This window comes from Homo sapiens, chromosome 5 (genome assembly GCF_000001405.40).
Source record: "Homo sapiens chromosome 5, GRCh38.p14 Primary Assembly".
NCBI lineage: Eukaryota > Metazoa > Chordata > Mammalia > Primates > Hominidae > Homo > Homo sapiens.
The window spans coordinates 134,873,747-134,901,637 of record NC_000005.10 but is presented as its reverse complement, the minus strand read 5'-3'; the positions used below and the strand labels follow the sequence as shown (position 1 = coordinate 134,901,637).

The 27,891-nt window shown below is 46.1% G+C and overlaps 1 protein-coding gene and 1 long non-coding RNA gene across 3 annotated transcripts, besides 7 other annotated features; one reads left to right on the top strand and one right to left on the bottom strand.

Moving 5' to 3' along the window:
* Positions 3–27,868, bottom strand: TXNDC15 (thioredoxin domain containing 15). 2 transcript variants are annotated; one of them, NM_001350735.2, is made up of 5 exons: positions 27,155–27,868; positions 13,456–13,943; positions 7,983–8,146; positions 5,214–5,344; positions 3–2,149 (listed from the first exon to the last, which is right to left on the bottom strand). In NM_001350735.2, exons 2-5 carry the CDS (start codon positions 13,840–13,842, stop codon positions 1,953–1,955), a joined length of 879 nt encoding a protein of 292 aa, NP_001337664.1. In that variant the 5' UTR covers positions 13,843–13,943; positions 27,155–27,868; the 3' UTR covers positions 3–1,952. The 2 variants fall into 2 exon arrangements, with proteins under 2 accessions (NP_001337664.1, NP_078991.3); NM_024715.4 differs by having other exon boundaries at positions 27,108–27,267.
* Positions 24,162–24,221: an enhancer, noted in NCBI's record as "active region_23166". NCBI's record gives its function as "activates an Ori minimal core promoter by ATAC-STARR-seq in GM12878 lymphoblastoid cells {active_cell/tissue: GM12878}" and the evidence as "EXISTENCE:reporter gene assay evidence [ECO:0000049][PMID:35858748]".
* On the top strand, positions 26,240–26,807 carry LOC124901071 (uncharacterized). The gene is made up of 2 exons (XR_007058943.1): positions 26,240–26,394; positions 26,506–26,807. It is a non-coding gene; the product is annotated as an uncharacterized LOC124901071 (long non-coding RNA).
* Positions 26,595–27,300: an enhancer, noted in NCBI's record as "H3K27ac-H3K4me1 hESC enhancer chr5:134210028-134210733 (GRCh37/hg19 assembly coordinates)". NCBI's record gives its function as "activates a minimal SCP1, AML or CMV promoter by ChIP-STARR-seq in primed H9 embryonic stem cells {active_cell/tissue: H9 hESC(primed)}" and the evidence as "EXISTENCE:reporter gene assay evidence [ECO:0000049][PMID:30033119]".
* Positions 26,595–27,521: a biological region, named in NCBI's record as "H3K27ac-H3K4me1 hESC enhancer GRCh37_chr5:134210028-134210733".
* Positions 26,632–26,701: an enhancer, noted in NCBI's record as "active region_23165". NCBI's record gives its function as "activates an Ori minimal core promoter by ATAC-STARR-seq in GM12878 lymphoblastoid cells {active_cell/tissue: GM12878}" and the evidence as "EXISTENCE:reporter gene assay evidence [ECO:0000049][PMID:35858748]".
* Positions 26,882–26,991: a silencer, noted in NCBI's record as "silent region_16370". NCBI's record gives its function as "represses an Ori minimal core promoter by ATAC-STARR-seq in GM12878 lymphoblastoid cells {active_cell/tissue: GM12878}" and the evidence as "EXISTENCE:reporter gene assay evidence [ECO:0000049][PMID:35858748]".
* Positions 27,232–27,521: an enhancer, noted in NCBI's record as "active region_23164". NCBI's record gives its function as "activates an Ori minimal core promoter by ATAC-STARR-seq in GM12878 lymphoblastoid cells {active_cell/tissue: GM12878}" and the evidence as "EXISTENCE:reporter gene assay evidence [ECO:0000049][PMID:35858748]".
* Positions 27,542–27,591: an enhancer, noted in NCBI's record as "active region_23163". NCBI's record gives its function as "activates an Ori minimal core promoter by ATAC-STARR-seq in GM12878 lymphoblastoid cells {active_cell/tissue: GM12878}" and the evidence as "EXISTENCE:reporter gene assay evidence [ECO:0000049][PMID:35858748]".

Genomic DNA, 27,891 nt, shown 5'->3' with positions numbered 1-27,891 from the left:
GCTACTGCACCAACCTAGTTTATTCTTTAAAAAGGATATTAAACAAAATAGTATATGTAAAGCATCTAAAACAGTACTTGGCACTCACACAGTAATAACTCAATATAAGAGGTGGACTCACTAGAGTTTTCCTTACATTTGTATTTATAAGTACACACATGTGAAGATTCAAATCCCAGCTTCATCAACTTACAATCTGTGTAACCTGGGCAAGTTATCTAACTCTCTATGCCTCAATTTGCTCATGTGTAAAATAGAAATAATGTGCCATTCTGAGATACGGTCCCCTCCTGCCAGTGACCACCCCAAACACAGCTGTTGGAAACATGACACATAAAAGTTGTAAACTCCCATTCATTGTAACACTCTAAGAAGGAGACTCATCTGAGGTTTTATTTCTATAGAATTTAGGGTGCCTTGTGAAATAAACATTCAACTACTCTAAAACCCTGGAAACAATTAGTATAAAAGTAATTTATGATGAGGTAATTAGCTGTCATATCTGAATTTAAGGAATCTTTTAGAAACAGCTTTTCAAAAAGTTTGTTTAGGCCAGGCGCAGTGGCTCACACCTGTAATCCCAACACTTTGGGAGGCTGAGGCGGGTGGATCACCTGAAGTCAGCAGTTTGAGACCAGCCTGGCCAACATGGCAAAACCCCATCTCTACTAAAAATAGAAAAATTAGCTGGGTGTGATGGCACAGGCCCATAGTCCCAGCTACTCAGGAGGCTGAGGCTGGAGAATCGCTTGAACCCGGGAAGCAGAGGTTGCAGTGAGCCAAGATTGCACCATTGCACTCCAGCCTAGGTGACAGAGTGAGACTTTGTCTAAAAAAAAAAAAAAAGTTTGTTTAAATTACATGTTGTCTCTTTACTAAACATGTGTCTTGAACTAGACTAGAATCAACTTGTGGGCAAGAACAGTGTTTTACACTTCAATACTTCTTTTTGTTTGTTTTTGAGATGGAGTTTCGCTCTGGTTGCACAGGCTGGAGTGCAGTGGCATGATCTCAGCTCACTGCAACCTCTGCCTCCCGGGTTCAAGTGATTCTCATGCCTCAGCTTTCCCAAGTAGCTGGGATTACAGGTGCCCGCCACCACGCCCAGCTAATTTTTTGTATTTTTAGTAGAGAGAGGGTTTCACCAAGTTGGCCAGGCTGGTCTCAAAAGTCCTAACCTCAAGTGATCCTCCCGCCTTGGCCTCCCAAAGTGCTGGGATTACAGGCATGAGCCACTGCGCCCAGCCTGCTGGGAACATTTTAAGGTTCAATTAATGCATGCTGCTTAGGTAACTATGATTAAAATGTATACGTTAGCATAGAACTGATAATAATTGAGCTTTAGTTACAGCATTTCCTTTCTCCTAACATCTCCCTTACCCAGAAACAACTTAAAACACTTCAAATTTTTTGAGTTAGAGATCACAAACATCAAGGTATTTGACTCTTATTTTCCATCACTTGCTACTTGAGGGGGTCACACTAACCAATTCTGGTTACATACTTTCCTGCTATGGACTCTAGAAGAAAAACTGCAAAGAAACAGAAAACTAACCTTCTTAAACATATATAAGGAATCAAGGGTTTCCTTAAACTATTACCTGAGAGTCCTATTTTTGCCTTCTGTATAGTAAGCATGTCATTCTACTCACTATTCTGCCGGAATACATCTTCACATTTCAAACTGGATTACTTTCCAAATACTGGATTACGTTCATGCAGTAAAAACAAGAATAGTGCATCTATTGAATATTTTTGCATTTGCTTATTGCAATACTAGTTAAAACACCAGTTTATAATTTTTTTATACATTCAGTTGTTCAACAAATGATTCTTTTAATCTGCCTGAAGTTTCAAGTCAACACGTCACTGGAGAAAATGTATGAAACTGTAGCACTAATTTCTGAAACGAAGGATTGAAGTTCCTCTTTCCAACTTCTTTCAGACCATCACTACTCCACATGTTCCTGCTCTTGTCCTGGAATTAGCCACCGAATACTCTCAGTTCGAATGGTAGCATACATAATAAAACTAATTAAAAAGAATAAGGAAAATACAAGCAACCAGTCCACACTTTTTATCAAAGTGCTGGGAAGAGGGCCTATTTGGTCGGCTTGAGTTACCACCACATTCTTCTTGGCTTCTATACCTGAAAGAAAAATCACTGGTTTCAAATCAGGCAGAAAAAGCACCCACCACAGATTTTTCTCAAGTATTATGTATGGTATGCAAAATGACATGCAGTCCTAAAATAAGCATTGCCACTAGTATATATATAAATATATGGGATGGATTTCACTTGCCTATCAGTGTAATTTGTAAGTTGCCTTTCTCCCCACTGCATCAAAGGATCAGGAACCCATTCAGCTGTTCACAACTAAAACACTAGAATTTCTGTGAACTCATCAGAAGTTTCTTAGTCAATGTGTTTATAAGAGTTGTATTTTGGTGTCTTTTGAGACCAAAGTTCAGTAAGTAACTAGTAAAACTCCTCTCAGGTGTCTACAGAATGTTTTCACAGGTTAAGTAATGCTAAATTCGAAATGCTTTTTTTTTTTTCTGTGATGAAGTCCTGCTCTGTCTCCCAGGCTGGAGTGCAGTGGTGCGATCTCAGCTCACTGCAACCTCCGCCTCCTGGGTTCGAGCGATTCTCTTGCCTCACCCTCCCAAGTAGCTGGGATTACAGACACACACCGCCATGCCTGGCTAATTTTTTTGTATTTTTAGTAGAGACGAGGTTTCACCATGTTGGCCAGGCTGGTCTCGAACTCCAGACCTCAGTTGATCTGCCCACCTCAGCCTCCCAAAGTGTTGGGATCACAGGTGTGAGCCACCGCACCCAGCCCCAAAATGCTTTTAATAATTTACTGAAAGAACTGTTATAACAACAAGCCACCAACGGAAACAGGGATTACCAAAGATGCTCTGACTCCCAGATTTGTGTTCTAGGTTTTCTTAGAGCACTGAATAAAATGGCTCCCTCTCCACACATCAATCGAAATGACAATCAGGGATCCATGACAAGACTTGGACTAGCTAACCACCTTGTAATATCCTACTTTTACTCCTATCAGCCAACTCAGCTCTTTTTTCTTTAGTGTTAGCTAAAATGATTATATGCAATTTAATATATATGCAATGTGTGTTATAATTTTTATTTATTTCCAGTGAGCATACTTTGGGAAGAGTGGGATGCTCACAATTGAGACAGTGAGGCTTTAGAGGAATGAACTTTTCCAATGGAGGTAATTTTTTCAATTTACAATGCTTTACAATGTTTTACAAACAATAAAAAATAAGGCCATATGTTTTGGCAAATATTAAGGAACTAAGATAGCATCTACAAATGGATTAATAAATGGAACAGTAGCAGCAAAGAAAAAGAACAAAACATAACCATACATGACAATGCAGGTGCATCTCACAAGCATACTGTTGGATGAAAAAAACAGACACAAAATAAAACATCCTGCATGTCTCCATTAATATGAAGTCCAAAACAAGTAACACAGTCTATGATATTAGGAGTCAAGACTGTGGTTATCTTTATCTTTGGGGAAGGCAGGAGCAGTGGTGCTGAAGGGAGGCTGGTAATGTTCTGTTTCTCTTTTTTTTTTTCTTTTTTTTTTGAGACGGAGTCTCACTCTGTCAACCAGGCTGGAATGCAGTACTGTGATCTCAGCTCACTGCAGCCTCTGCCTCCTGGGCTCAAGCAATTTTCATGCCTCAGCCTCCCGAGTAGCTGCGACTACAAGCACCCACCACCATCCCCAGCTAGTTTTTGTATTTTTAGTAGAGACAGGGTTTCGCCATGTTGGCCAGGCTGGTCTCGAACTCCTGGCCTCAAGAGATCCACCCGCACAGGCTTCCCAAACTCCTGGGTTTACAGGCATAAGCCAGTGCTCTGTTTCTTGATCAGAGTGGTTACCCAGGGTGTTCACTTTGTGAAAATTCATCACCCTGTACACTCATGACTTATGCATATCTTTGTGTAAATATTAAGTGAAAAATGTGCGTTAAAAGTTATAAGTAAAGTGTATGGTATGTGAATTATATTTCAGTAACACTTGTTTTAAAGTATCTATAATAGGCCAGGCACGGTGGCTCACACCTGTAATCTGAGCACTCTGGGAGGCCAAGGCAGGCAGATCACTTGAGGTTAGGAGTGCAAGACCAGCCTGGCCAACAGGGCGAAACCCTGTCTCTACTAAAAAATACAAAAATTAGCCAGGTGTGGTGGTGCGCACCTATAATCCCAGCTACTAGAAAGGCTGAGGCAGGAGAATCGTTTTAACCCAGGAGGCAGAGGTTGCAGTGAACTGAGATTATGCCATTGCACTCCAGTCTGGGTGACAGAGCGAGACTCCGTCTCAGTCAATCAAACAATAAAGTATCTATAATAGACCGGGCACAGTGGCTCACACCTGTAAAATCCCAGCACTTTGGGAGGCCGAGGCGGGTGGATCACTTGAGGCCAGGAGATCGAGACCAGCCTGGCCAATAAGGCGAAACCCTGTCTCTACTAAAAATACAAAAATTAGCTGGGCACACGCCTGTAATCCCAACTACTCTGGAGGCTGAGGCACGCAAATCACTTGAACCTAGGAGGCGGAGGCTGAAGTGAACTGAGATCATGCCACTGCACTCCAGCCTGGGCAACAGAGTGAGACTCTGCCTCAAAAAAAAGGAAAAAAAGGCTGGGTGCGGTGGCTCACGCCTGTAATCCCAGCACTTTGGGAGGCCGAGGTGGGTGGATCACGAGGTCAGGAGATCGAGACCATCCTGGCTAACACGGTGAAACCCCGTCTCTATTAAAAATACAAAAAATTAGCCGGGTATGGTGGCGGGCGCCTGTAGTCCCAGCTACTCGGGAGGCTGAGGCAGGAGAATGGCGTGAACCCGGGAGGTGGAGGTTGCAGTGAGCCAAGATCGCACCACTGCACCCCAGCCTGGGCGACAGAGCAAGACTCAAAAAAAAAAAAAAAAGGGAAAAAAAAAGTATCTATAATAATTAAAATTACCTATTCATGTTAAACTTCATACTGATTGGGAAGTATTTAACAGGATCATAACAGTTCATTAGAAGAGAAGTTTTACAACTCAAAGTCAGTCTTGAATCCTTCACTTAAGGATTATAGCAGATCAGAACCCACAGAAGGCACAGACCCCCAGCAATAGAATATCTTCTTCCTCAGCACATTACTTCCACATACCTGTCTGATTAAAAATGAAGATTTTCAGTGTTTCCAGTGTTCGATCTGTATGATTAAATCTGGCCATTGGTTTAGCTCCTTGAAATAATAAAATATTAGGAACAGCTACGGTGCCAAACCTGGTAGAAAGGCTACAAGAGAAAGAAGTCAAAAAACCTGAATTTATTATTAATAGAGGGCTTTCTCATACAATTACCATCTCAGAATAGACAGAAATAAATGAGGAAGTTGCGTGTGACCTACGGAGATTTCTGATACTTGAAACTTTTGGCTTTTTCATTTGTTTCTGACCTCTTTGCTTATGGGTCATGGCTGGGGGGCACTCCTTTTCTGCAATCTGAGTTGCTTTCAATTATAATATGGATCTACCAATGGCACAATTATTCCACTAGTTAAGTTCCTGTCTAAACAAACCAGACCAGAAAACTCTAATTCATGGACAAAGCACACTGTGTCAACTTATTTGACAGAAAAAATTTCCAACTCTTCAGAATGCCCATCCCTGTCCCTCAAAAAAGATCAACTTACAGTAGGCAATTGGTTTGGTAAGCTGGCACAAGGGAGTATATGATCTAACAAACACACCAGGATGTTCACAATTAGGGCAGGATGACTTGTTTAGAAGGAATATAACTGTGCGGGCTTATTTCACCTTTACATAATACAGACTAGTGGTGATAAGCTCCCAAGTCAAAACACTCTGGGTTGAAGCCTCAGTTCTGCCACTGAACCAATGTGAACTCTGGGCAGATTATTTAACCTTGCTAAGCCTCAATTTTCCGCATTAGTAAAATAGTAATAGTGTATAACCAGGATTTTTTTCTTTTGTACACATGCTGTAACTTAAATATTAACATAAGAAGCAAACATGTCCCAGCCCATATAATAACAGCAAGAGCCTTAGTCTCCATAATTAAGATACAACATGGAGCTGAAGGAAGGAAAGAAGAAAGCAGGTTAGGGAGGGAGTTGCGGGAGAGGCAGGAGGGACAGTGTGAGACCCAGAACCAAAGAGCACTGAGTATGCCTGGGGGCAGTGGAGGCCCCACCAAAGCTGGACACTGACGTGATCTGTCCTTCCAATCAGTCTGCTCCCTTGGGCCCAGTCACTTAGATATAACCCAGAAGCCTATATGAAAATTACTAATTTGTTGAGCCATTTCTTTCTTCATAAAAGTTTCAGGTAAACATTGGCAGTTATATTCCCACAATGAAAATCAGTGGAATACAATTTTTTTTTTTTTGAGACAGGGTCTCACTCTGTAGCCCAGGCTGGAGTGCAGTGACAGGATCACGGCTCACTGTGACCTTGACCTCCCCTGGTTCAGGCAATCTTCCCACCTCAGCCTCCCAAGTAGCTGGGGTACCACAGGTATGTGCCACCATCCTCAGTCAATTTTTTGTATTTTTTTTTATAGAGATGGAGTTCTGCCATGTTGTCCAGGCTGGTCTCAAACTCTTGGGCTCAAGCAATCCTTCTACCTTGGCCTCTCAAAGTGATGGGATTACAGGTGTGAGCCACTGCACCTGGCCTCAAGTACAGAGTAATGGAAGTTTACTCAACTTCATTTTACCACCAATTGACCATTTTTCAGATGTTCTAGATTTATTTACACACAACCTCCTTGTTGAGGCTGACCTACTAAGGAGCATCTGATTTGGAAGAGAAGAACAGTTTATAACTCAGGCACAATCGCAGCACTTAGGAGAAACATATACCATCTCAACAAAGTTCTCTGTAACTTACTTTACTAAACATTTAAAAAAGACAAAAAGTGGCTCACACCTGTAATCCCAGCACTTTGGGAGGCCGAGGCTGGTAGATCACAAGGTCAGGAGTTCGAGACCAGCCTGGCCAACAAACGGTGAAACCCCGTTTAAAAATACAAAATTAGCCGGCATGGTGGCAGGTGCTTGTAATCCCAGCTACTCAGGAGGCTGAGGCAGGAGAATCACTTGAACCTGGGAGGCAGAGGTTGCAGTGAGCCTAGATCACACCATTGCACTCCAGCCTGGGTGACAGAGCAAGATTCCACCTCAAAAAAAAAAAAAAAAGAAAAAAAAAATGACCAGCCTGGCATGGTGGCGCATGCCTGTAGTCCTGCTACTCAGGAGGTTAAGTCAGGACGATCGCTTGAGCCCAGGAGTTCAAGGCCAGCCTGGACAAAAACCCAGTGAATGATACACGAGAAATATAAAACAAAGATAAATGTCATGTTAAAGAGCTAAATTAATTCATGACTTGATCGAGTGCCTACTACAGAACATGACTGCAAGAATAAGTACGCAGGAAAGAAAGAAGGAAAGAGGGAAAGGGAAAAGAAGGAAAGAAAAAGAAAAGGAAGGGAAGAAATCCTGAGTAGACACAAAACAGGGGTGCTGGGAATTGGGCTGCCTGGGATGGGGATTTAACCTGCGCCTTAAAGTCACAAAGGAATATCCTACTGTGATACCAATTGTGCTGATTCAGTCTGGCTATGGCCCTCAAAAGTCTTCTGGCCCCTCCCCTGCCATCAGGTGCTACCACCTGCCACCTTTAAATCCACCACACAGAGAACAGCCCACTTTCTTTAAGGGGCCTCCATAAAGTGACACCACCAGCTCCCTCAGGAGTATGATAATCCTCACTATTCACTCTTGCCTTGCCTTCCATCCCAGGACACAGTTCATGCCCCCCCTCTTCTGCTTCTAACTTAACTAATTAGGACCTCCAAATAACTGCAACCATCAGCCAGGAGGATGGACGTAAACCCCACCAATGGAAGATACCTGCTGTGCTGAGATGCATCCAGTGCCAAAAAGTGAAGAGCTGGAAATGCCCGGGGCAGAGAGTTAAAGTGAGGGGCCAAACTGGCAGAAAAGCGGCACCACGGGGTGTAAAACAGGACTAGAGTACAGTCACTACCGTTTGGGTTCAGAAAATCCATAAGGTCCTGTGGTAAAAGAAACAAGCATTAAAGTTAGCAGTAAAAGTACATTTTTCTGAAAGGATACCCAAGAAACAGGACACACTGCTGCTCCAGGGAGAGGAACGGGTGGGTAGGAGCAGCGAGAGAAGGAACCCTCGGAACCTTTTGGATTTTGAACCATATGAATCCAGGAACCAGCAAAAAAGTATGATCAAATGACAAGTTATAAACTTTCACTTTTTTTAAGTCTTGCTGAATTAAGCAGAAAGTTTTAAACTTTCCTCTGCGCTTTCCTAATATTACAAGTTATTTTAATATTTTTCATAATTCATCATTTCAAATACAGGCATACCTCATTTTACTGCATTTCACTCCATTGCACTTTGCTGACATTGCATTTTTTGCAGATTGAAAGTTTGTGGCAACTCGGCATCCAGCAAGTTTTTCAGCACCATTTTTCCAACAGCATGTGCTCAATTTGTGTCTGTGTCACATTTTGGTAATTCTTGCAATATTTCAAACTCTTCCATTATTATTATATCTGTTATGGTGATCTATGATAAGTATCTTTGATGTTACTATTGTAATTGTTTTGGGGCGCCACCAACTGTACCCATAGAAGACAGTGAACTTTATCAGTAAATGTCTATGTTCTGACTGTTCCACCGACCAGCTATTCCCCATCTCTCTCCCTCTCCTCAGGCCTCTCCCTGAGACACAACAATATTGAAATTAGGTGAATTAATAACCCTACAGTGGCCTCTGTTTAAGTGAAAGGAAGAGTTGTACATCTCTCGTGAAAGGAAGAGTTGTACATCTCTCATTTTAAATCAAAGCCAAAAATGATTGATTAAACTTAGTGAGGAAGCCATGCCGAATGCCAACATAGGAGACAGGCTGAAAGCTAGGCCTCTTACACCAAACAGCCACATTATAAATGCAAAGGAAAAGTTTTTAAAGGAAGTTAATGTGCTACTCCATCCAGTGTGGTGACCTCTGATGCTTAAAAATAAAAATAAGTGCTACTCAATGAATATGCAAATGATAAGAAAGCAAAACAGCATTATTGCTCATATGGAGAAAATCTTAATGCTATAGATAGACGATCAAACCAGTCACAACATTTAAGCCAAAGCCTAAATCCAGAGCAAGGCCCTAACTCTCTTCAATTCTACGAAGGCTGAGAGAGGTGAGGAAACTGCAGAGGAAAAGTCTGAAATTAGCTGGGGTTGGCTCATGAGGTTTAAGAAAGAAGCTGTCTCCAGAACATAAAAGTGCAAGGTGAGGCAGCAAGTGCTGATAGAGAAGCTACAACATAGTAACATCAAAGATCAATGGGGAAAAAAAAAAAGAAGCTGCAACAACTTACCCAGAACATCTAGCTAAGAGAATTGATGAAGGTGGCTATACTCAAAAATCAATTTTCATGTAGATAAGACAGCCTTCTATTGGAATAAGGTGGCTTCTAGGACTTTCATAGCTAGACAAGAGATGTCAATGCCTGGCTTCAAAGGACAGGCGGACTCTTTTTAGAGGCCAGTGTAGCTGCGGTCTTATTTATTTATTTAACAATAAATCTTATTATTTATTTATTTATTTATTTGACAAGGTCTTGCTCTGTCACCCAGGCTGGAGTACAGTGGCGCAATCATGGCTCATGGCAGCCTCAGCCTCTGGGCTCAAGCAATCCTCCTGCCTCAGCCTCCCAAGTAGCTGGTGCCCACCACCATGCCTGGCAAGTTTTTGTATTTTTTGTAGAGATAAGGTTTCACCATGTTCCCCAGGCTGGTCTGGAACTCCTAGGTTTAAGCAATCCACCCACCTTGGCCTCTGAAAGTACTGGGATTACAGGTATGAGCAACCACAGGGCCAATGCTCATTGCTCATTGCCCATTCTGAAGATCCTGGGGCCTTTAAAAATTATGCTAAATTTATTTTGCCTGTGCTCTAGAAAAGGAACAACAAAGCCTGGATGACAGTACATCTGTTTACAGCATGGTTTCCTGAGTATTTTAGGCCCACTGTTGAGACCTACTGCTCAGAAAAAAAGATTCCTTTCAAAATATTATACTCGTTGACAATGCACCTGGTCAACCAAGAGTTCTGGTGGAGATGCACAAGGAGATGAATGTTGTTTTCAGGCCTGCTAACACAGCATCCATTCTGCAGCCCATGAATCAAGGAGGGATTTCAACTTTTAACTCTTATTATTTAAGAAATACATTTCATAAGGCTATAGTTGCCATAGATAGCAATTCCTCTGATGGATTTGGGCAAAATAAATTTAAAACCTTCTGGAAAGGATTTACCATTCTAGATGACTTTAAAAATATCTGTGATTCATGGCAGGTGGTCAAAATATCAACATTAATAGGCGTTTAGAATAAGCTGACTCCAACCCTCGTGGATGACTTTGAGGAATTCAAGACCTCAATGGAGAATGGAACTGCGGATGTGGTAGAAATAGCAAGAAAACTAGGATTAGAAGTGGAGTCTGAAGATAGGACTGAATTGCTACAATCTCATGATAAAACTTGAAGAGATGAGGAGTTGATTTTTATGGATAAGCAAAGAAAGTAGGTTTTTGAGATGGCATCTACGCCTGGTGAAGATGCTGTGAACACTGTTGAAATGACGACAAAGGATTTAGAATATTCCATAAACTTAGTTGATAATGCAGCAGCAGGGTTTGAGAGGATTGACTCCAACTTTGAAAGAAGTTCTACTGTGGGTAAAATGCTATCAAACAGCATTGCATGCTACAGAGAATTCTTTCGTGAAAGGAATTAAGAAACTGTGGGCCACAGGCCAGGTGTGGTGGCTCATGCCTGTAATCCCAGCACTTTGGAAGGCCAAGGTGGGCAGATCACTTGAGGTCAGGAGTTCAAGACCAGCCTGACCAACATGGTGAAACCCTGTCTCTACTAAAAATACAAAAATTAGCTGGGCATGTGAAGCACGCCTGTAATCCCAGTTATTCGGCGAGAGGCTGCAGTGGGAGAATAGCTTGAACCTGGTAGATGGAGGTTGCAGTGAGCTGAGATCACGCCACTGCACTCCCGCCTGGGTGACAGAGTGAGACTCCATCTCAAAAAAAAAAGAAAGAAAAGAAAAGAGAAGAGAAAAGAAGAGAAGAGAAAAGAGAAAAGAAAAGAAAAGAAAAGAAAAAAACGAAACGAAACTGTGGGCCAGGCATGGTGGTTCACGACTCACAACACTTTGAGGGGCCAAGACAGGAGGATCACTTGAGCCCAGGAGTTTGAGACCAGCCTATGCAACATAGTGAGACCTCATCTCTACAAAAAAAAAAGAAAAAAATTAGCCAGGTATGGTGGCACATGCCTGTATTCCCAGCTACTTGGGAGGCTGAGCTGGGAGGATCACTTGAGCCTGGGAGGTCAAGGCTGCAGTGAGCCATGGTCTCACCACCACACTCCAGCCTGGGTGACAGAGCAATACTCTGTCTCAAAGAAATTGCCAGAGCCACCCCAACCCTCAGTAACTACCATCCTGATCAGTCAGCAGCCATCAACATCAAGGCAAGACCCTCTACCAGCAAAAAGATTACAACTCACTGAAGGCTCAGATGATCGTTAGCATTTTTTAGCAATAAAGTATTTTTAAATTAAGGTATATACATTTTTTAAACATAATGCTACTGCATACTTAATAAACTACAATATAGTATAACTTCTGTATGCACTGGGAAACCAAAATATTCACGTGATTTGCTACACTGCGATATTTGCTTTATCACAGTGGTCTGGAACCAAACCTGTAGTATCTTTGAGGTATGCCTGTACTAAGTACTCACAGGGTCCAGGCAATTGCCCCCACCTTTGAATTGTGCATCTCAAACCATCTAAAATGGAATTATTAGAGGACTACGATCTCAAATCCAAACTATCATCTCAGCAGAGCTAAGTCTGAACTAAGCAGTCATATCGATATGTTTGGCCAAAGGTTAGATCAATTCAAGAGTACACTGTCCTAGCCAGCCACAGTATCTTACATCTGTAATCCCAACACTCTGGGAGGCCAAAGAGGGCAAATCAGTTGAGGTCGGGAATTTGAGACCAGCCTGGCCAACGTGGTAAAACCTCGTTTCCACTAAAAATACAAAAATTAGCCAGGCGTGGTGGCATGTGCCGTAATCCCAGCTACTCGGGAGGCTGAGGCAGGAGAACCACTTGAACCCGGGAGGCAGAGGTTGCAGTGAACCCAGATCATCCCATTGCACTCCAGCCTGGGTGACAGAGTGAGACTCTGTGTCAAAAAAAGAAAAAGGGTACACCGTCCCTGCCACCACCTGTTTAATCCATAACTCAGACTGTTTAAACTGCTCTCTCCCAGTCATGTGAGTGACACCTGTGGGAGTCCCACAGACCACAGCATCTACAGGCACTCAGGAGTGGATGCAAAGCCAGCGCCGAGCACTGCCCTTGGAGGAGCTATGTGCACTACAGGTGCTGTGCCCTCACTGACAACAGTCACAGCTCTTAGAGTCAGGATTTACCTCTCTTACATAAGCAGTGTGAATGCATCCTACCCTTCTGTTTTCTGAACCACCCCACAGAAATTGTCAGTCATTGATGAAAGAGAAAATTTCATCAATATAACATATTTTCCAGGGGCATTACTAGTCTAAATAATGGTAAATTATAATTTTAGTAATCCAGATATGTTTAAATTGCCTCTGTAATAAATAAATACTTCATTTGGAAGAAGAAAAATGGCCGGGCACGGTGGCTCACACCTGTAATCCCAGCACTTTGGGAGGCCGAGACGGGTGGATTACCTGAAGTCAGGAGTTTGAGACCAGCCTGGCCAACATGGTGAAACCCATTTCTACTAAAAATACAAAATTAGCCAGGCATGGTAGTGCATGCCTGTAATCCCAGCTACATGGGAGACTGAGGCAGGAAAATCATTTGAACTCAGGAGGCGGAGGTTGCAGTGAGCCGATATCATGCCATTGCACTCCAGCCTAGGTGACAAGAGCAAAACTCTGTCTCAAAAGGAAAAATGCTATGATTTTGGTGCCAAGCAACTATCTGTCCACTGGGATTTCTATCGTGAGGTTTGGTGGTGAGACTGGCCCAAGGATAACTAGGTTTAGGCCATCTGAAAAGCATAATCAACACTAGTTATATTTCCTCGTCTCCCTATAAACATCACAGAGGGCAAAGTTGATTTTCACTGAAGCAGCCATTAAATGCTATCTCGCTTACAATATGATCAAGATCATGATTTTCCATTTCAAAGTTGATAGGGTATTAATCATAAAATAAATGTACTGAAAAGGAGAAAAGCACTAAATAATTTTTCCTTACCTGTGACATATTTAAAATTTTCAGAGTGAAATTTTCTAATCCTGTAATGTTTCTCTCCTCACAGTTCACCTTTGGGGATTTCAGACTTTCAGTGTTATTGGAGTCCTCTGTCGGGGCTGCGTCAGATTCCGCCACTTCTGGCTCTGTGTAATACTCCTCTTCTCTGTCAGGGAAGTGTGCTCCAGCGCCATCCAGAGAGAAAAGGCTCTCTCGGACGTTGCACCTTGAGTCCTCCGCTCCTCCAGCACCACAGGTGACGCCGCTAGGCTCTGAACTCACTTTGTCCTCAGCTTCCCCAGGAATCACAGACAGCATCACCATGTGATCGCCTTGGGTGTCCAGCCCCAGCACCGCATTGGCCTCTTCTGCTGCCCTGTCCTGGCCCATCGGGTCATGCAGGAGCTCCTCCTCACCCAGGTACACAGCCCCCACCTGGAGAGGGTGAGCAGGCTGCTCCTCTGACCATAAGCGACCACTTTCCTCTGCAACTAAAACATGCCAGCACATTCAGAGTCATATTTGACTTCAAAACAAATGAACCCCAAAGAATTACAGTTCCCCTCTAACACGAAATTTTCCCCTCTGGAGACAAAAAGGTCTCCTTTCATTAAACTATCAGAGAGCTACTCACCATTTCCCAGGTTAGGAAGAAGGTCACAAGCAGGTACTATTAATAAATTAATGAATGTCAAAGAAGGCCGGGCATGGTGGTTCACACCTGTAATTCTAGCACCTTGGGAGGCCCCAAGTCAGGTGGATCACTTGAGGTCAGGAGTTCAAGACTAGCCTGGCCAACATGGTGAAACCCTGTCTCTATTAAAAATATAAAAATTAGCCGGGCATGGTGGCAGGCACCTGTAATCCCAGCTACTAGGGAGGCTGAGGCAAGAGGATTGCTGGAACCTAGGAGGCGGAGGTTGCAGTGAGCCAAGACTGCGCCACTGCACTCCAGTCTGGGCGACAGAGCAAGACTCCGTCTCAAAAAACAAACAAACAAACAAGCAAACAAAATAATGAATGTCAAATAATAGACAAACACACAGCTCTGCCCTAAACTTGCTGCTTGCCATGTGGATTATAACCAAAAACATTCCAGTTCAGATATCTCATTAGGAAAATAGAATATAAACACTTTCATTTTTTGATAAGAGTTTCATTTGTTTGATAATATCCAAGAAAAGGATCATGGTTTTATGCAAGATTCTACTAGAACAAAGCATCTTTGCACACATTATAACAGTCCTGTGAGATGGGCAAGACAAGGGTTACCAAGACCACTGAACAGGTAACGAGGCAAGGCACAGAGAGGCTCAGCACAGTGTCCGATGGTACACAGATAGTAAGCAGCAAAGCCAAGTCTGCGAGCAAAGTTTTCTGGCTGCTACTCCAGAACGAGCCGTAGGCTCCCTGCCATGATACCTCGGGGATGCTGAGCCACACTGCCTGAAGAACACTGTTCAAGCCACACAGCAGCTCCTTCCTGAGGTGGCCTCTGACAGCTGGACTCTGCTCTCCTGCCTGCCACCCTTGGGCTGCTGCCCTTGGGAGTGCTGGGAGATGGGCTCGGCAGTGCAGAGGCAGCAGCAGGAGGAAGAAGAGAACTTTCCCCCACTTTGGAGCTAGAAGGTGGGTCTTGAGCATAATGCTCAGATAAGGGAAGAGTCCCAGGTAGTCTCGTACATCTATTTACCCAACTCCACTCACCTCCATAGCAATGCCTCCTGCCCTCCAACTCATCAACTCAACACCAGCTGCCAGACTTTGTGCCAGGCACCAACCAGCAGAAACCAGTGAGGCCAGCAGCCCTCACGAAAGCTCACCATGTGGTTAAGAAACCACCCGCTGGGTGATGAGTTCTGCGTGCCAACAGCATGTCACTGGAGTGTCAGTGACCAACTGACTTCAAAGTTGGGAAGGTCTGGGGGCTTCCTCAGGTATGCACATTTGTATAAGATTTCAAAGAATATCCCTGTAGAGCTTTTTGTTGTTGCTGATGCATAACAGATGTACATGTGATAATCACAAAGCACATGTGATAATCAATATATTCATGCAATTTGTAAAGATCAGATCAATGTATTTGGGATATCCATCACCTTAAATATTTGTCTTTTCTTCATGCTAGAATCATTCAAATTCTTCTCTTCTAGCTATTTTAAAATATACAATAGGCTATTATGAACTACAGTTACCCTACTGATCTACCTCACACTAGGGCATAGAGCTCTGTGGATTCATTCAGAGATTCAAAAACATTATCTGGGAATTCTGCTTCTGGCCAAGATGGAGTAACAAGAACCAGATTTACCTTACCTACTGAAACAACCAAATAGATAATATATATAAAACAACAGTTTCAGGAAATCAGTTATGAGGCAACAGAGGATAGTGACATCCGAGAAACAGGCGACAAATGAAGAGAACCCTACAACTGCTCCAACTTACTGCCTTGATGGCGTTCCCACTGTGGCTCAGGGAGGGGAAATCCAGGCAGAGCCCAGCAGACTCTCCCAGTTGAGGAGATGGAGCTAAGAGTCCAAGGAGACCAAGAAGCCATAGTTTGCAAGACAGAATACTGCAGATGAGAGGAGCTATCTAGAGAGGGGACTCCAGAGATCTGCAGAGGCCCCCCCAAGTATACAGCAGGGTACGGGTCATCACATGCATGTGAGTAAACTACCCAGTGCCAGAGAAAGAACTACCAGAAAGGATGGGAAGGAACAGTACCCAACATTCACACAGAGCAGGGAATGGTACCTCTTCTTACCAGCTAGACTGAAAAACTTCATAATTCACAGGGTATTGAGTAGAGTATACAAAAGGACCTGCGTCAGTAGTGGGACACTATTAACCCTAAAGAAAATAACAGCTTGCTTGCTTAAAAGCAAAACCTGAAAGAATCAAGCTGTTCTCAAGTAACTTCACTGTACCCCAGAACAAAGCTCAAGAATATATATACGGGGCCAGGTGCAGTGGCTCACGCCTGTAATCCCAGCAATTTGGAAGGCCGAGGTGGGTGGATCACCTGAGGTCAGAAGTTTGAGACCAGCCTGACCAACATGGTGAAACCCTGTCTCTATTAAAATATAAAAATTAGCCATGCATGGTGGCGGGCACCTGTAATTTTAGCTACTCGGTAGGCTGAGGCAGGAGAATCACTTGAACCCAGGAGGTGGAGGTTGCAATGAGCCGAGATCATGCCACTGCACTCCAGCCTGGGCAACAAGAGAGAAATCCGTCTCAGAAAAAAAAAAAAAAAGAATATGTATAGGGAATCTAAAATATCCAGCATTCAACAAAGTAAAATTCATGTCTGGCATCCAGTAAAAAATTATCAGACATATAAGGAAGCAGGAAAATAGGACACATAATGAGAATAATCAATCAAGCCACACTGACCCAGAACTTGCACCCATGTCACAATTAGCAGACAAGGATATTAAAACAATAATTGTAACTGTATTGCATTCAAAAAGTAAAGTAGATATCAAGATATAAGATATTAAAAATATCAAATCGACCTGGGAGGCAGAGGTTGCAGTGAGCCAAGATCAAGCCATTGCACTCCAGCCTGGGCGAAAGAGTGAGACCCTGTCTCAAAAAAATAACTAAATAAAAATAAAAACAATCAAATTGGCCGGGCTCGGTGGCTCACACCTGTAATCTCAGCACTTTGGGAGGCTGAGGCGGGTAGATCACCTGAGGTCGGGAGTTCGAGACCAGCCTGACCAACATGGAGAAACCCCATCTCTACTAAAAATACAAAATTAGCCTGGCGTGGTGGCGCATGCTTGTAATCCCAGCTTTTTGGGAGGCTGAGGCAGGAGAATCGCTTGAACTTAGGAGGCAGAGGTTGTGGTGAGCCGAGATAGTGCCATTGCACTCCAGCCTGGGCAACAAGAGCAAAACTCTGTCTCGGGAAAAAAAAAAAGATCAAATTGTACCCTTTTTTTTTTTTTTTTTGAAACTGAGTCTTGCTCTATCGTCCAGGTTGGAGTGCAGTGGCACAATCTCAGCTCACTGCAGCCTCCACCTCCCGGGTTCAAGCAATTCTCCTGCCTCAGCCTCCCAAGTAGCTGGGATTATAGGTGCCTGCCACCACACCTGACTAATTTTTGTATTTTTTAGTAGAGATGAGGTTTCGCCATGTTGGCCAGGCTGGTCTCGAACTCCTGACCTCGGGTGATCCTCCCGCCTCGGCATCCCAAAATGCTGGGATTGCAGGCATGAGCCACCGCGCCTGGCTTTCTTTCCTTTTTTTTTTTTTTTGAGATGGAGTCTCCCTTTATTGCCCAGGCTGAGTGCAGTGGCACCATCTCGGCTCACTGCAACCTCCACCTCCCAGGTTCAAGCAATTCTCCTGCCTCAGCTTCCTGAGTAGCTGGGATTACAGGCACCCACCACCACACCCAGCTAATTTTTGTATTTTTTTAGTAGAGATGGGGTTTCGCCATATTGGTCAGGCTGGTCTCAAACTCCTGGCCCCAAGTGATCTGCCTGCCTCAGCCTCCCAAAGTGCTGGGATTACAGGTGTGAGCCAGCGAGCCACCAGGCCTAGCCTTTTTCTTTTCTTTTTTTTTTTTTTTTTTTTTTTTGAGACAGGGTCTCGCTCTGTCACCCAGGCTGGAGTACAGTGGCACAACCACCTCCCGGGTTCAAGCGATTCTACCACCTCAGCCTCCCAAGCAGCTAGGATTACAGGCATGAGCCACTGCACCCAGCTAATTATTTTGTCTTTGTTTTTTTGGTTTTTTTTGAGACAGAGTCTTGCTCTGTAGCACAGGCTGGAGTGCAGTGGCACGATCTCACTCACTGCTACCTCCTCCTGGGTTCCGGTTCAAGGAATTCTCCTGCCTCAGCCTCCTGAATAGCTGGGATTACAGGCATGTGCCACCATGCCCAGCTAATTTTTGTATTTTTAGTAGAGACGGGGTTTCATCATGTTGGCCAGGCTGGTCTGGAACTCCTGACCTCGTGATCCACCCACCTTGGCCTCCCAAAGTGCTGGGATTACAGGCGTGAGCCACCATGCCCAGCCTAATTATTTTGTATTTTTGCTAGAGATGGGGTTTTGCCATGTTGGCCAGGCTGGTCTCAAACTCCTGGCCTCAAGTAATCTGCCCGCCTCAGCCTCCCAAATTCTGGGATTACAGGCATGAGCCACCGTGCCCAGCCCAAATCGTACTTTTAAAGACGTAAATTATAATAACTACAATGTCTGAGATGAAAATTGCACTCTATAAGAATAATGGTAAAGTAGACAATACGGAAGAAAATAGTCAACTTGAAGATAGCAATAGAACCTGTCCAGCTCTCCCTCTCCCTCTCCCCCTCCCCCTCTCCCTCCTCTTTCCACGGTCTCCCTCTGATGCCGAGCCGAAGCTGGACTGTACTGCTGCCATCTCGGCTCACTGCAACCTCCCTGCCTGATTCTCCTGCCTCAGCCTGCCGAGTGCCTGCGATTGCAGGCGCGCGCCGCCACGCCTGACTGGTTTTCGTATTTTTTGGGTGGAGACGGGGTTTCGCTGTGTTGGCCGGGCTGGTCTCCAGCTCCTAACCGCGAGTGATCCGCCAGCCTCGGCCTCCCGAGGTGCCGGGATTGCAGGAGTCTCCTTCACTCAGTGCTCAATGGTGCCCAGGCTGGAGTGCAGTGGCGTGATCTCGGCTCGCTACAACATCCACCTCCCAGCAGCCTGCCTTGGCCTCCCAAAGTGCCGAGATTGCAGCCTCTGCCCGGCCGCCACCCTGTCTGGGAAGTGAGGAGCGTCTCTGCCTGGCCGCCCATTGTCTGGGATGTGAGGAGCCCCTCTGCCTGGCTGCCCAGTCTGGAAAGTGAGGAGCATCTCTGCCCGGCCGCCATCCCATCTAGGAAATGAGGAGCGCCTCTTCCCGGCCGCCATCCCATCTAGGAAGTGAGGAGCGTCTCTGCCCGGCCACCCATCGTCTGAGATGTGGGGAGCGCCTCTGCCCTGTCGCCCCGTCCGGGATGTGAGGAGCGTCTCTGCCCGGCCACCCCGTCTGAGAAGTGAGGAGCGTCTCTGCCCGGCCACCCCGTCTGAGAAGTGAGGAGACCCTCTGCCTGGCAACCGCCCTGTCTGAGAAGTGAGGAGCCCCTCCGCCCAGCAGCCACCCCGTCTGAGAAGTGAGGAGCCCCTCCGCCCGGCAGCCACCCCGTCTGGGAAGTGAGGAGCGTCTCCACCCGGCAGCCACCCCGTCCGGGAGGGAGGTGGGGGGGTCAGCCCCCCACCTGGCCAGCCGCCCCGTCCGGGAGGTCAGGGGCGCCTCTGCCCGGCCGCCCCTACTGGGAAGTGAGGAGCCCCTCTGCCTGGCCAGCCGCCCCGTCCGGGAGGGAGATGGGAGCGTCAGCCCCCCGCCCGGCCAGCCGCCCCGTCCGGGAGGTGAGGGGCGCCTCTGCCCGGCCGCCCCTACTGGGAAGTGAGGAGCCCCTCTGCCCGGCCACCACCCCGTCTGGGAGGTGTACCCAACAGCTCATTGAGAACGGGCCATGATGACAATGGCAGTTTTGTGGAATAGAAAGGGGGGAAAGGTGGGGAAAAGATTGAGAAATCGGATGGTTGCCGTGTCTGTGTAGAAAGAGGTAGACATGGGAGACTTTTCATTTTGTTCTGTACTAAGAAAAATTCTTCTGCCTTGGGATCCTGTTGATCTGTGACCTTACCCCCAACCCTGTGCTCTCTGAAACATGTGCTGTGTCCACTCAGGGTTAAATGGATTAAGGGCGGTGCAAGATGTGCTTTGTTAAACAGACGCTTGAAGGCAGCATGCTCGTTAAGAGTCATCACCACTCCCTAATCTCAAGTACCCAGGGACACAAACACTGCGGAAGGCCGCAGGGTCCTCTGCCTAGGAAAACCAGAGACCTTTGTTCACTTGTTTATCTGCTGACCTTCCCTCCACTATTGTCCTGTGACCCTGCCAAATCCCCCTCTGCGAGAAACACCCAAGAATGATCAATAAAAAAATAAATAAATAAATAAATAAATAAATAAAAAGAACCTATCCAAAATGAAACACACAGGAAAAAAAAAAAGAATGGAAAGAAATTAAGAGCATCAGTGGGCCGTAGGACAATTTCAAGTGGTCTAATGTACAGTAACTGGAGTACTGGCAAGAGAAGAGAGTGGAGGAACAGAAAAATATTTGAAGAAATTATAGCCAAAAACTTTCCAAACTTGGTGAAAACTATAAATCCATAGATCTAAGAAGCTCAACAAAACCCAAACTCAATGAACTACAACAAAGCACATCACAATCAAATTGCTCAAAACCAGTGACAAAGAAAAAAATCTTTAAAGCAGCCAGAGGAAAAAAAACAAAACATCATGTAGAGAGGAACAAAGGATAACAACAGGTTTCTCACTGGAAACAAAGCAAGCAAGAGTGCGACTCCATCTCAAAAAAAAAGAAAAAAATGATTTTGGCTGGGCATGGTGGCTCACGCCTGTACTCCCAGCACTTAGGGAGACCGAGGCAGGTGGATGACTTGAGGTCAGGAGTTCCAGAACAGCCTAGCCAACATGGTGAAACCCTGTATCTACTAAAAATACAAAAAAAAAAATTAGCCTGGCATGGTAGCGGGCGCCCGTAATCCCAGCTGCTCGGGAGGCCGAGGCAAGAGAATCGCTTGAACCCAGGAGGTGGAGGTTGCAGTGACCTGAGATAGTGCCACTGCACTCCAGCCTGGGCTACAGAGCGAGACTCCATCTCAAAAAAAAAAAAAATAATAAGTGAAATAAATACTTCTTCACTTCTTCAGACATACAAAAGATAAAAGAATTCATTACCAGCGAACCCACATGACAAAAATCTTCAAGGAACTCCTTCAGGCAGAAGAAAAATGTTAACAGATGGAAATATGGATCCACATAAAGAAATAGAGAAACCAAAATGGTAACTACATGGATAAATATACACAATTCTTTCCAAAAATCTAGCTATAAAGGGGGCGAGGAAGGTAGGGTAGATTCGCTACAGGCAAGGAAGACTAAGGGAGGTTTCTATTTTGCTATTTGGAACATAGGAGCAATCTGAGGATACACAAAGCTGATGAGAAAGCAGGTAAGAAGGGGCTGGGCGCGTGGCTCACACCTGTAATCCCAGTACTTTGGGAGGCCAAGGAGGGCGGATCCCTTGAGGTCAGGAGTTCGAGACCAGCTTGGCCAACATGTTGAAATCCCGTCTGTACTAAAAATACAAAAATTAGCCAGATGTGGCGGCATGCACCGGTAATCCCAGCTACTTGGGAGGCTGAGGCAGGAGAATCACTTGAACCTGGGAGGCAGAGGCTGCAGTGAGCCGAGAATCACGCCACTGCACTCCAGCCTGGGTGACAGAGCAAGGCTCTGTATCCAAAAAAAAAAAAAAAAAGGCAGGTAAGAAGGGAGAGGTGGCAATGGAGGTTACATAGGACAGAGTTTAAGGCTTGGGCAGCAAAGTGAGTCTTTAGCAGAAGGTCAAGCACTTCTGTGACTACAATCCAGAGAAGCGGCTGGGTGCCTGGGAAGGGAGCTTTGCCAAATTGGTGGAGGGGCGGGATCACATTGGCGGTATTTCTATAGCCTTTTATTTCTATAGCCTTTGGTTAATGAGTGTGTATTGCCTGTATGATCAGAAGAAAAAACAAACACACATGTTTTCTGTGTCAGCCACAAGACAAAGCAGGAAATGAAGCCAGAGAGGCTAAGAGTCTGGAAAAGAAAGGATGCCAGGTTTGGGGTCCAACCCAACTCCCAAACACCACAGTTCTTCAGAGATTTGCTCTTGCTACCTAATCAACATTCTAGATTCCACAAGTAAATGAAGAATGCCAAAACGAAGAACCTCAGGATAAAAAAATCAGGGCACAAATTTTAATCTGGTTCTCTCTGATGACCCTCAGATAGCCCCTGCACAAAATCAAAAGGGAATGTAAGTGGTGCATGGAGCTGGTATTTTAAGTTCAAGAGTGTTGTCCCCTCCATCCCCCTGCACATTGTAAAAATATTTAAGTACACAGTACAGATTAGGAACAAAAAAATCTTATGCCTTCAGGTACCAACGTTTTCATTTAGGAATTAGGAAGAAAAGAAACACTGAATTATTCCACACGAAAATAAAAATGTCATACTATGTGACAGTCATTGAACCCTCCCTTGGTAATGTGCTTTTATTTTTTATTTTCTTTGAGACAGAGTCTTGCTCTGTTGTCCGGGCTGGAGTGCAGTGGCACGATCTCAGCTCACTGCAGCCTCCATCTCCTGGGTTCAAGCAATTCTCCTGCCTTAGCCTCCCAAATAGCTGGGATTACAGATGCGCACCACCACACCTGGCTACTTTTTTTATTTTTAGTAGAGATGGGGTTTCACCATGTTGGCCAGGCTGGTCTCAAACTTCTGGCCTCAAATGATCCAGCCACCTCGGCCTCCCAGTGTGCTGGGATTACAGGCGTGAGCCACTGCACCCGACTGGTAATGTGCCTTTTAAGAGACTGCAGTTTGAGCTATACATAAAGTGATAATTATTGCATCACTGGCAGCAAAGAAGTTGTCTGAAGGACAAGTGTGAGGGCACCATGCCAATTCTGCCAGGGAGCCCTAGCCTAGGTCAGCACCTTCACACCCTTCCAGCTTTTCTCAGAAGGCTCTTTACCAGCTGCAGGTGTTTTCACAATGGCTTCTGGCAGGAAAGGCAAATGAGGAGGGACCAAAAACAGTCAAGGGTTGGAGGGACAGCAATCCATACTTTCCATAGGCAATACTGTGTGCTCATTTAGCAAATGGAGACAATACCACCAAAATGTAGAAAATTATGAGGCTACTGTGAAGATTAAATGAGAAAAGATGTGTATGGTCCCTGCCACAGGTTAAACACTCCATAAATGGCTGTGGTGATGATGATGATTATGATGAGTGGTGTTTACAATTCAAAGAGATGGAAAGGCACAATAACTAAGTTCTATTAATTAACCTGCACACTGGGCTTGCTGGTTCATACCTGTAATCCTAACACTTTGGGAGGCCAAGGCAGGCAGATTACTTGAGGTCAGGAATTCAAGACCAGCCTGGCCAACATGGTGAAACCCCATCTCTACTAAAAAATACAAAAATTAGGCCAGGCGCAGTGGCTCACGCCTGTAATCCCAGCACTTTGGGAGGTCAAGGCGGGCAGATCACCTGAGGTCAGGAGTTCGAGACCAGCCTGGCCAACATGGCGAAACCCCATCTCTACTAAAAATACCAAAAATTAGCCGGGGTGTAGTGACGGGTGCCTGTAATCCCAGCTACTCAGGAAGCTGAGACAAGAGAATCGCTTGAACCCGGGAGGCAGAGGTTGCAATGAGCCAAGATCGCACCATTGCTCCAGCCTGAGCAACAAGAGCAAAACTCCATCTCAAAAAAAAAAAAAAAAATTAGCCAGGCATGGTGGCGCATGCCTGTAATCCCAGCTACTCGGGAGGCTGAGGCAGGAGAATCATTTGAACCCAGGAGGTGGAGGTTGCAGTGAGCCAAGATGGTGCCACTGCACTCCAGCCTGGGTGACAAGAGCAAGACTCCTTCTCAAAAAGAAAAAAAAAAATTTCACCTGCTAAACACATTCACAATCCATCTACTTTCCCCATCCCAACTAACACTTCTCAGCAAAGGCCACAGCCAATTCTTGTCTGGGCAACTACTGTAGCCACCTAAACTGGTCTCCCTGGTCAGCCTGCTATCCCCCCTCCAGACCCTGACCTTCACAGCAATACAAGTGAAACTGAAAGATAAAAGGCATATCTGATCATGTCACTCCCCTGCTAAAACTCTTTCAGTGGCTTCCCCTACCCTGTGAATGCATCTGCATTCTGTAGCAGAGCTACCAGGCCCCAATGTGGCCTCTGTCTGCACTCTCACCTGTGGCCATCAGATCCCTCTAGTCCCTGATCATTTACACTCCTCCTATCCCCACCTGCCTTAGAGCCTTCCTGAGGGCTGTTTCTCTGCTGGGAAGCTTCCTCCTGCCAAATCCTTCATCCTCCTCATTCAGATCTCACCCTAAATGTCACCTCTGTAAGGACACATTCCCTGACCCTCAGACCAGGGTGGGAGGTCTCCCATTACAGTTCCCAAAAACGCCCTGGGACTCTCCTTGATGCATTTCTCAGTCTTGCAATTTTCTTAGTAATTTGTAGTTATTTAGTGGCTGCCTTCCCCAAAGGCCTGCTGCTCTAACTCACCACTGGATCCCCAGTGCTCAGCACAGTGTTTAGCATATGATGAGTGCTCAGTAAGAATTTGCTAGCTGACTGCCTAGGGAAGAGTGGCATAGGGGTATTGAAGCCAGGAGTTTGCTTCCATTCCTAGACACCTGGATAGCATTGCTACCTCCAGGTTGCTTAGTCTCTCAGGGCCTCAGCACCTGAGGCCAGCATAATCTGCCAGTGGCATCCTCTGCAGAAAAAAAAAAAAAAAAAACACCTCAGATTTTCAGCTACTCTGAGAAGAAATCAGCTGGTGAAGTTTCTTCTGTCTTCACCCCATTCATGGCCTGGCCATGATGACCAAAGACCCAAGCTGAACCCTGAATCAGCCAGGGTTCTGCCAGGAAACAGCACATTTAACTTGGGCAAGTTGAGGAGAGTTTAATGAAGGGACCACTAATGTGTAGGCTGGGTGCAGAGAAATGAAAAGCAATGGTAAGGAATTCCAAGGCCAGTAACAGTAGAGGAGGAGCCAGTTACCACTCATAGACCTTAAGAGTCTGGAGAGAGAAGTAGTCACAGAACCTTGAAACATCAAGGGTAACACAGAGGGCAGCTTTCTAGAATTCAATGCTTTCCACCGGGGGCAAAGCCAGCCTTCAATAACTTCTCAGGGAGGGAGCGGAGAGAATCAATACCCTGACCTCACTCTCCCCTCATTCCAACACAATGGAAGCAAGACGGTAGGACAGCTGGTATTTATTCCACACAGGACAGCCACACAGGGCACAGAGCACGGTGGAGGGGCTGAAACAGAAGATATCCAACCCATGCCATCCCCTCTGTGAGGCTAGCAGTTAAGTATAGTGAAAATGCAGAGGTTGGGCTCTGAAGTCAGGCAGACATGGGCTTGAATCAAGGCTCCTCAACTTCTGGCTGTATGACCTTGTCAAAGGACTTATTGGCTCTGAGTCTTAAGTTACTTCTATAAAATGAGCATGATAACATCTACTGCATATGCATTTAAAAATTACTAAGGCCAGGCACGGTGGCTCAAGCCTGTAATCCCAGCACTCTGGGAGGCCGAGGTGGGTGGATCACCTGAGGTCAGGAGTTCCAGACCAGCGTGGCCAACATGGTGGACCATCATCTCTACTAAAAATACAAAAATTAGCCCAGTGTGGTGGCAGGCACCTGTAATCCCAGCTACTCAGGAGGCTGAGGCACGAGAATCGCTTGAACCCGGGAGTCAGAGGTTGCAGTGAGCCAAGATCGCGCCACTGCACTCCAGCCTGGGCAACAGAGCGAGACTCCATCTCAAAAAAAAATAAAAATAAAAATTACATAAACCGGGAGCAGTGGCTCACATCTGTAATCCCAGCACTTTGGGAAACAGGTGGGAGGATCACTTAAGCCCAGGAGTTCAAGGCTGCAGGGAGCCATGATGGGCCACTGCACTCCCGCCTGGGCAACAGAGCAAGCCCTCATCCCTTAAAAAAACAAAAACAAAACAGTAAAGATTCCAAAAGATGATGCTCGTAAAGCACTGAGCACAGCATCTGGTACACAGTGAGCGCTTTCATTCATGGTAATTGTGTTACTATGACTCACCCTTCTCCACAACTCTCTGCTGTCCTGCCTCCATCCAGGACACCCCAGGGAAAAGAAAGACCTGCCTATTCCTGTTAAGGTCTAAATGACAAGCGAGACCGAGGGTCTGGACTTTAACAGGACTATGAGGAGTGGGGTGAAGGAGCATGAAAGTAAGGCCTCCACTCTCCACCCTCGCCATGCCTCTAGAGTGGCTGCCTTCCCTACCGGCAAGTTGGGGGTTACCGGGAGTCTCCCGTGTTTCTCGTCTGTTTTTCATGCAGGGAGCTGAGCAAGACTGGCCTCCTTAAGACAGTGGTCCAGCAGCGTGGACTCCAGACTGGGCTTTGGCGTCAGAGAGACAGGCTTCTGCCACGTATCAGAAGCGCAAACTTAGGCGGGGCCTGAGCATCTTCATCTGTGAAATGGAGACACTAAACGGAACCGATCTGACAGGGTTTGTGGGAGCATTAAATGGGATAATGATGTAAATAAAGCACGATGCACAGTTCCTGGCTCCTAATACGGCCACAACAATGTCGGTATTTGATATAATGTTATTAATAATAAATTGCTTATCACCAGAGGGTATGCCTCAGCAGCGCTTACCGCACTGTCCCTCCTGGCTACCAGCCACGGGCTGAGGGCGGCCTGAACGCGGCCCAACCACCCCCGGGCTCCCGTCCACCGGCCCTCAGCCCACCGGCCCCCTTTCGCGGGCCACCAGCGGGCGGTGCGCGGGGAGAGAAGTCGGGGAGACGCGCCCGGGGAGACGCCAAGAAGGGGCGAGTCGCGCACCGCCGGCCTTCGCGCAGGTCCAGAGCGTCGCCCGGGTGGACCTCAGCTCGCCCCATCATCTCATGCACCGCCCCCGGCCCACACTCACCCTCCACGCCGCGGACGGGAAGTCCCAGCACCCACAGCAATACTTGCCACCAGCCGAGGAGCCGCATGACGCGGGGCGGTCGTCGACCGGCAGCCGGGACCATTGCCCAGGCCGAGAGGCAATCGGCGCACGGCTACGCGAGTCGTGCTGCCAGCCGGAGGAAGGCTGGGGGAGGAGAGCCTGGGAGCGCGGGCGCGGCCCCGCGCCGCCATCTTAACACCTGGCAGCTGTGGCGGGCGCCATCTTGGAGTCGGGCGGACGGCCTCTAGCCGCTGGCCGTCGGCGCTGGACTGGAGACCTCTTTAGGAGCTAAGCGCCAGACGTTGCAGGTCGTTTTGAACTCTGCTGACCCCAGAGTGCAGAGCATGGCTCTGGCAGAGGCCCATGGCCTCCTTTCTTCCCTCGGAAGTCAGAGCTTGGCTACTTGAAGCACTGCGCCCGCCTAAGGAGGGTTTTCCACGCTTCATTCCCAGAGCCAGAAAGGCCCAGGAGCCTTCCTGTTCTAGTGTCCCATCGAGGTGCAGAAACTTTGGAGGCTGCAAATCTTCTAATCGCTTGCCTAACCTGTGCTCCCCTACCTAGGGTTGCCACATAGAATACCTGATACCCAGTTATATTTGAATTTCACATAATGAATATTTTTTACTATAACCCTTATAGTATAAGGGATATACCTTAAAACTGAGCATCCTGTAACTTCGTGACATCTGGCAACCCTAACCCTACCTATCCACTCAGGGCAGGAGAGGTTGGTTTTAACTGATTTACCTTGCAGGGCAATCTC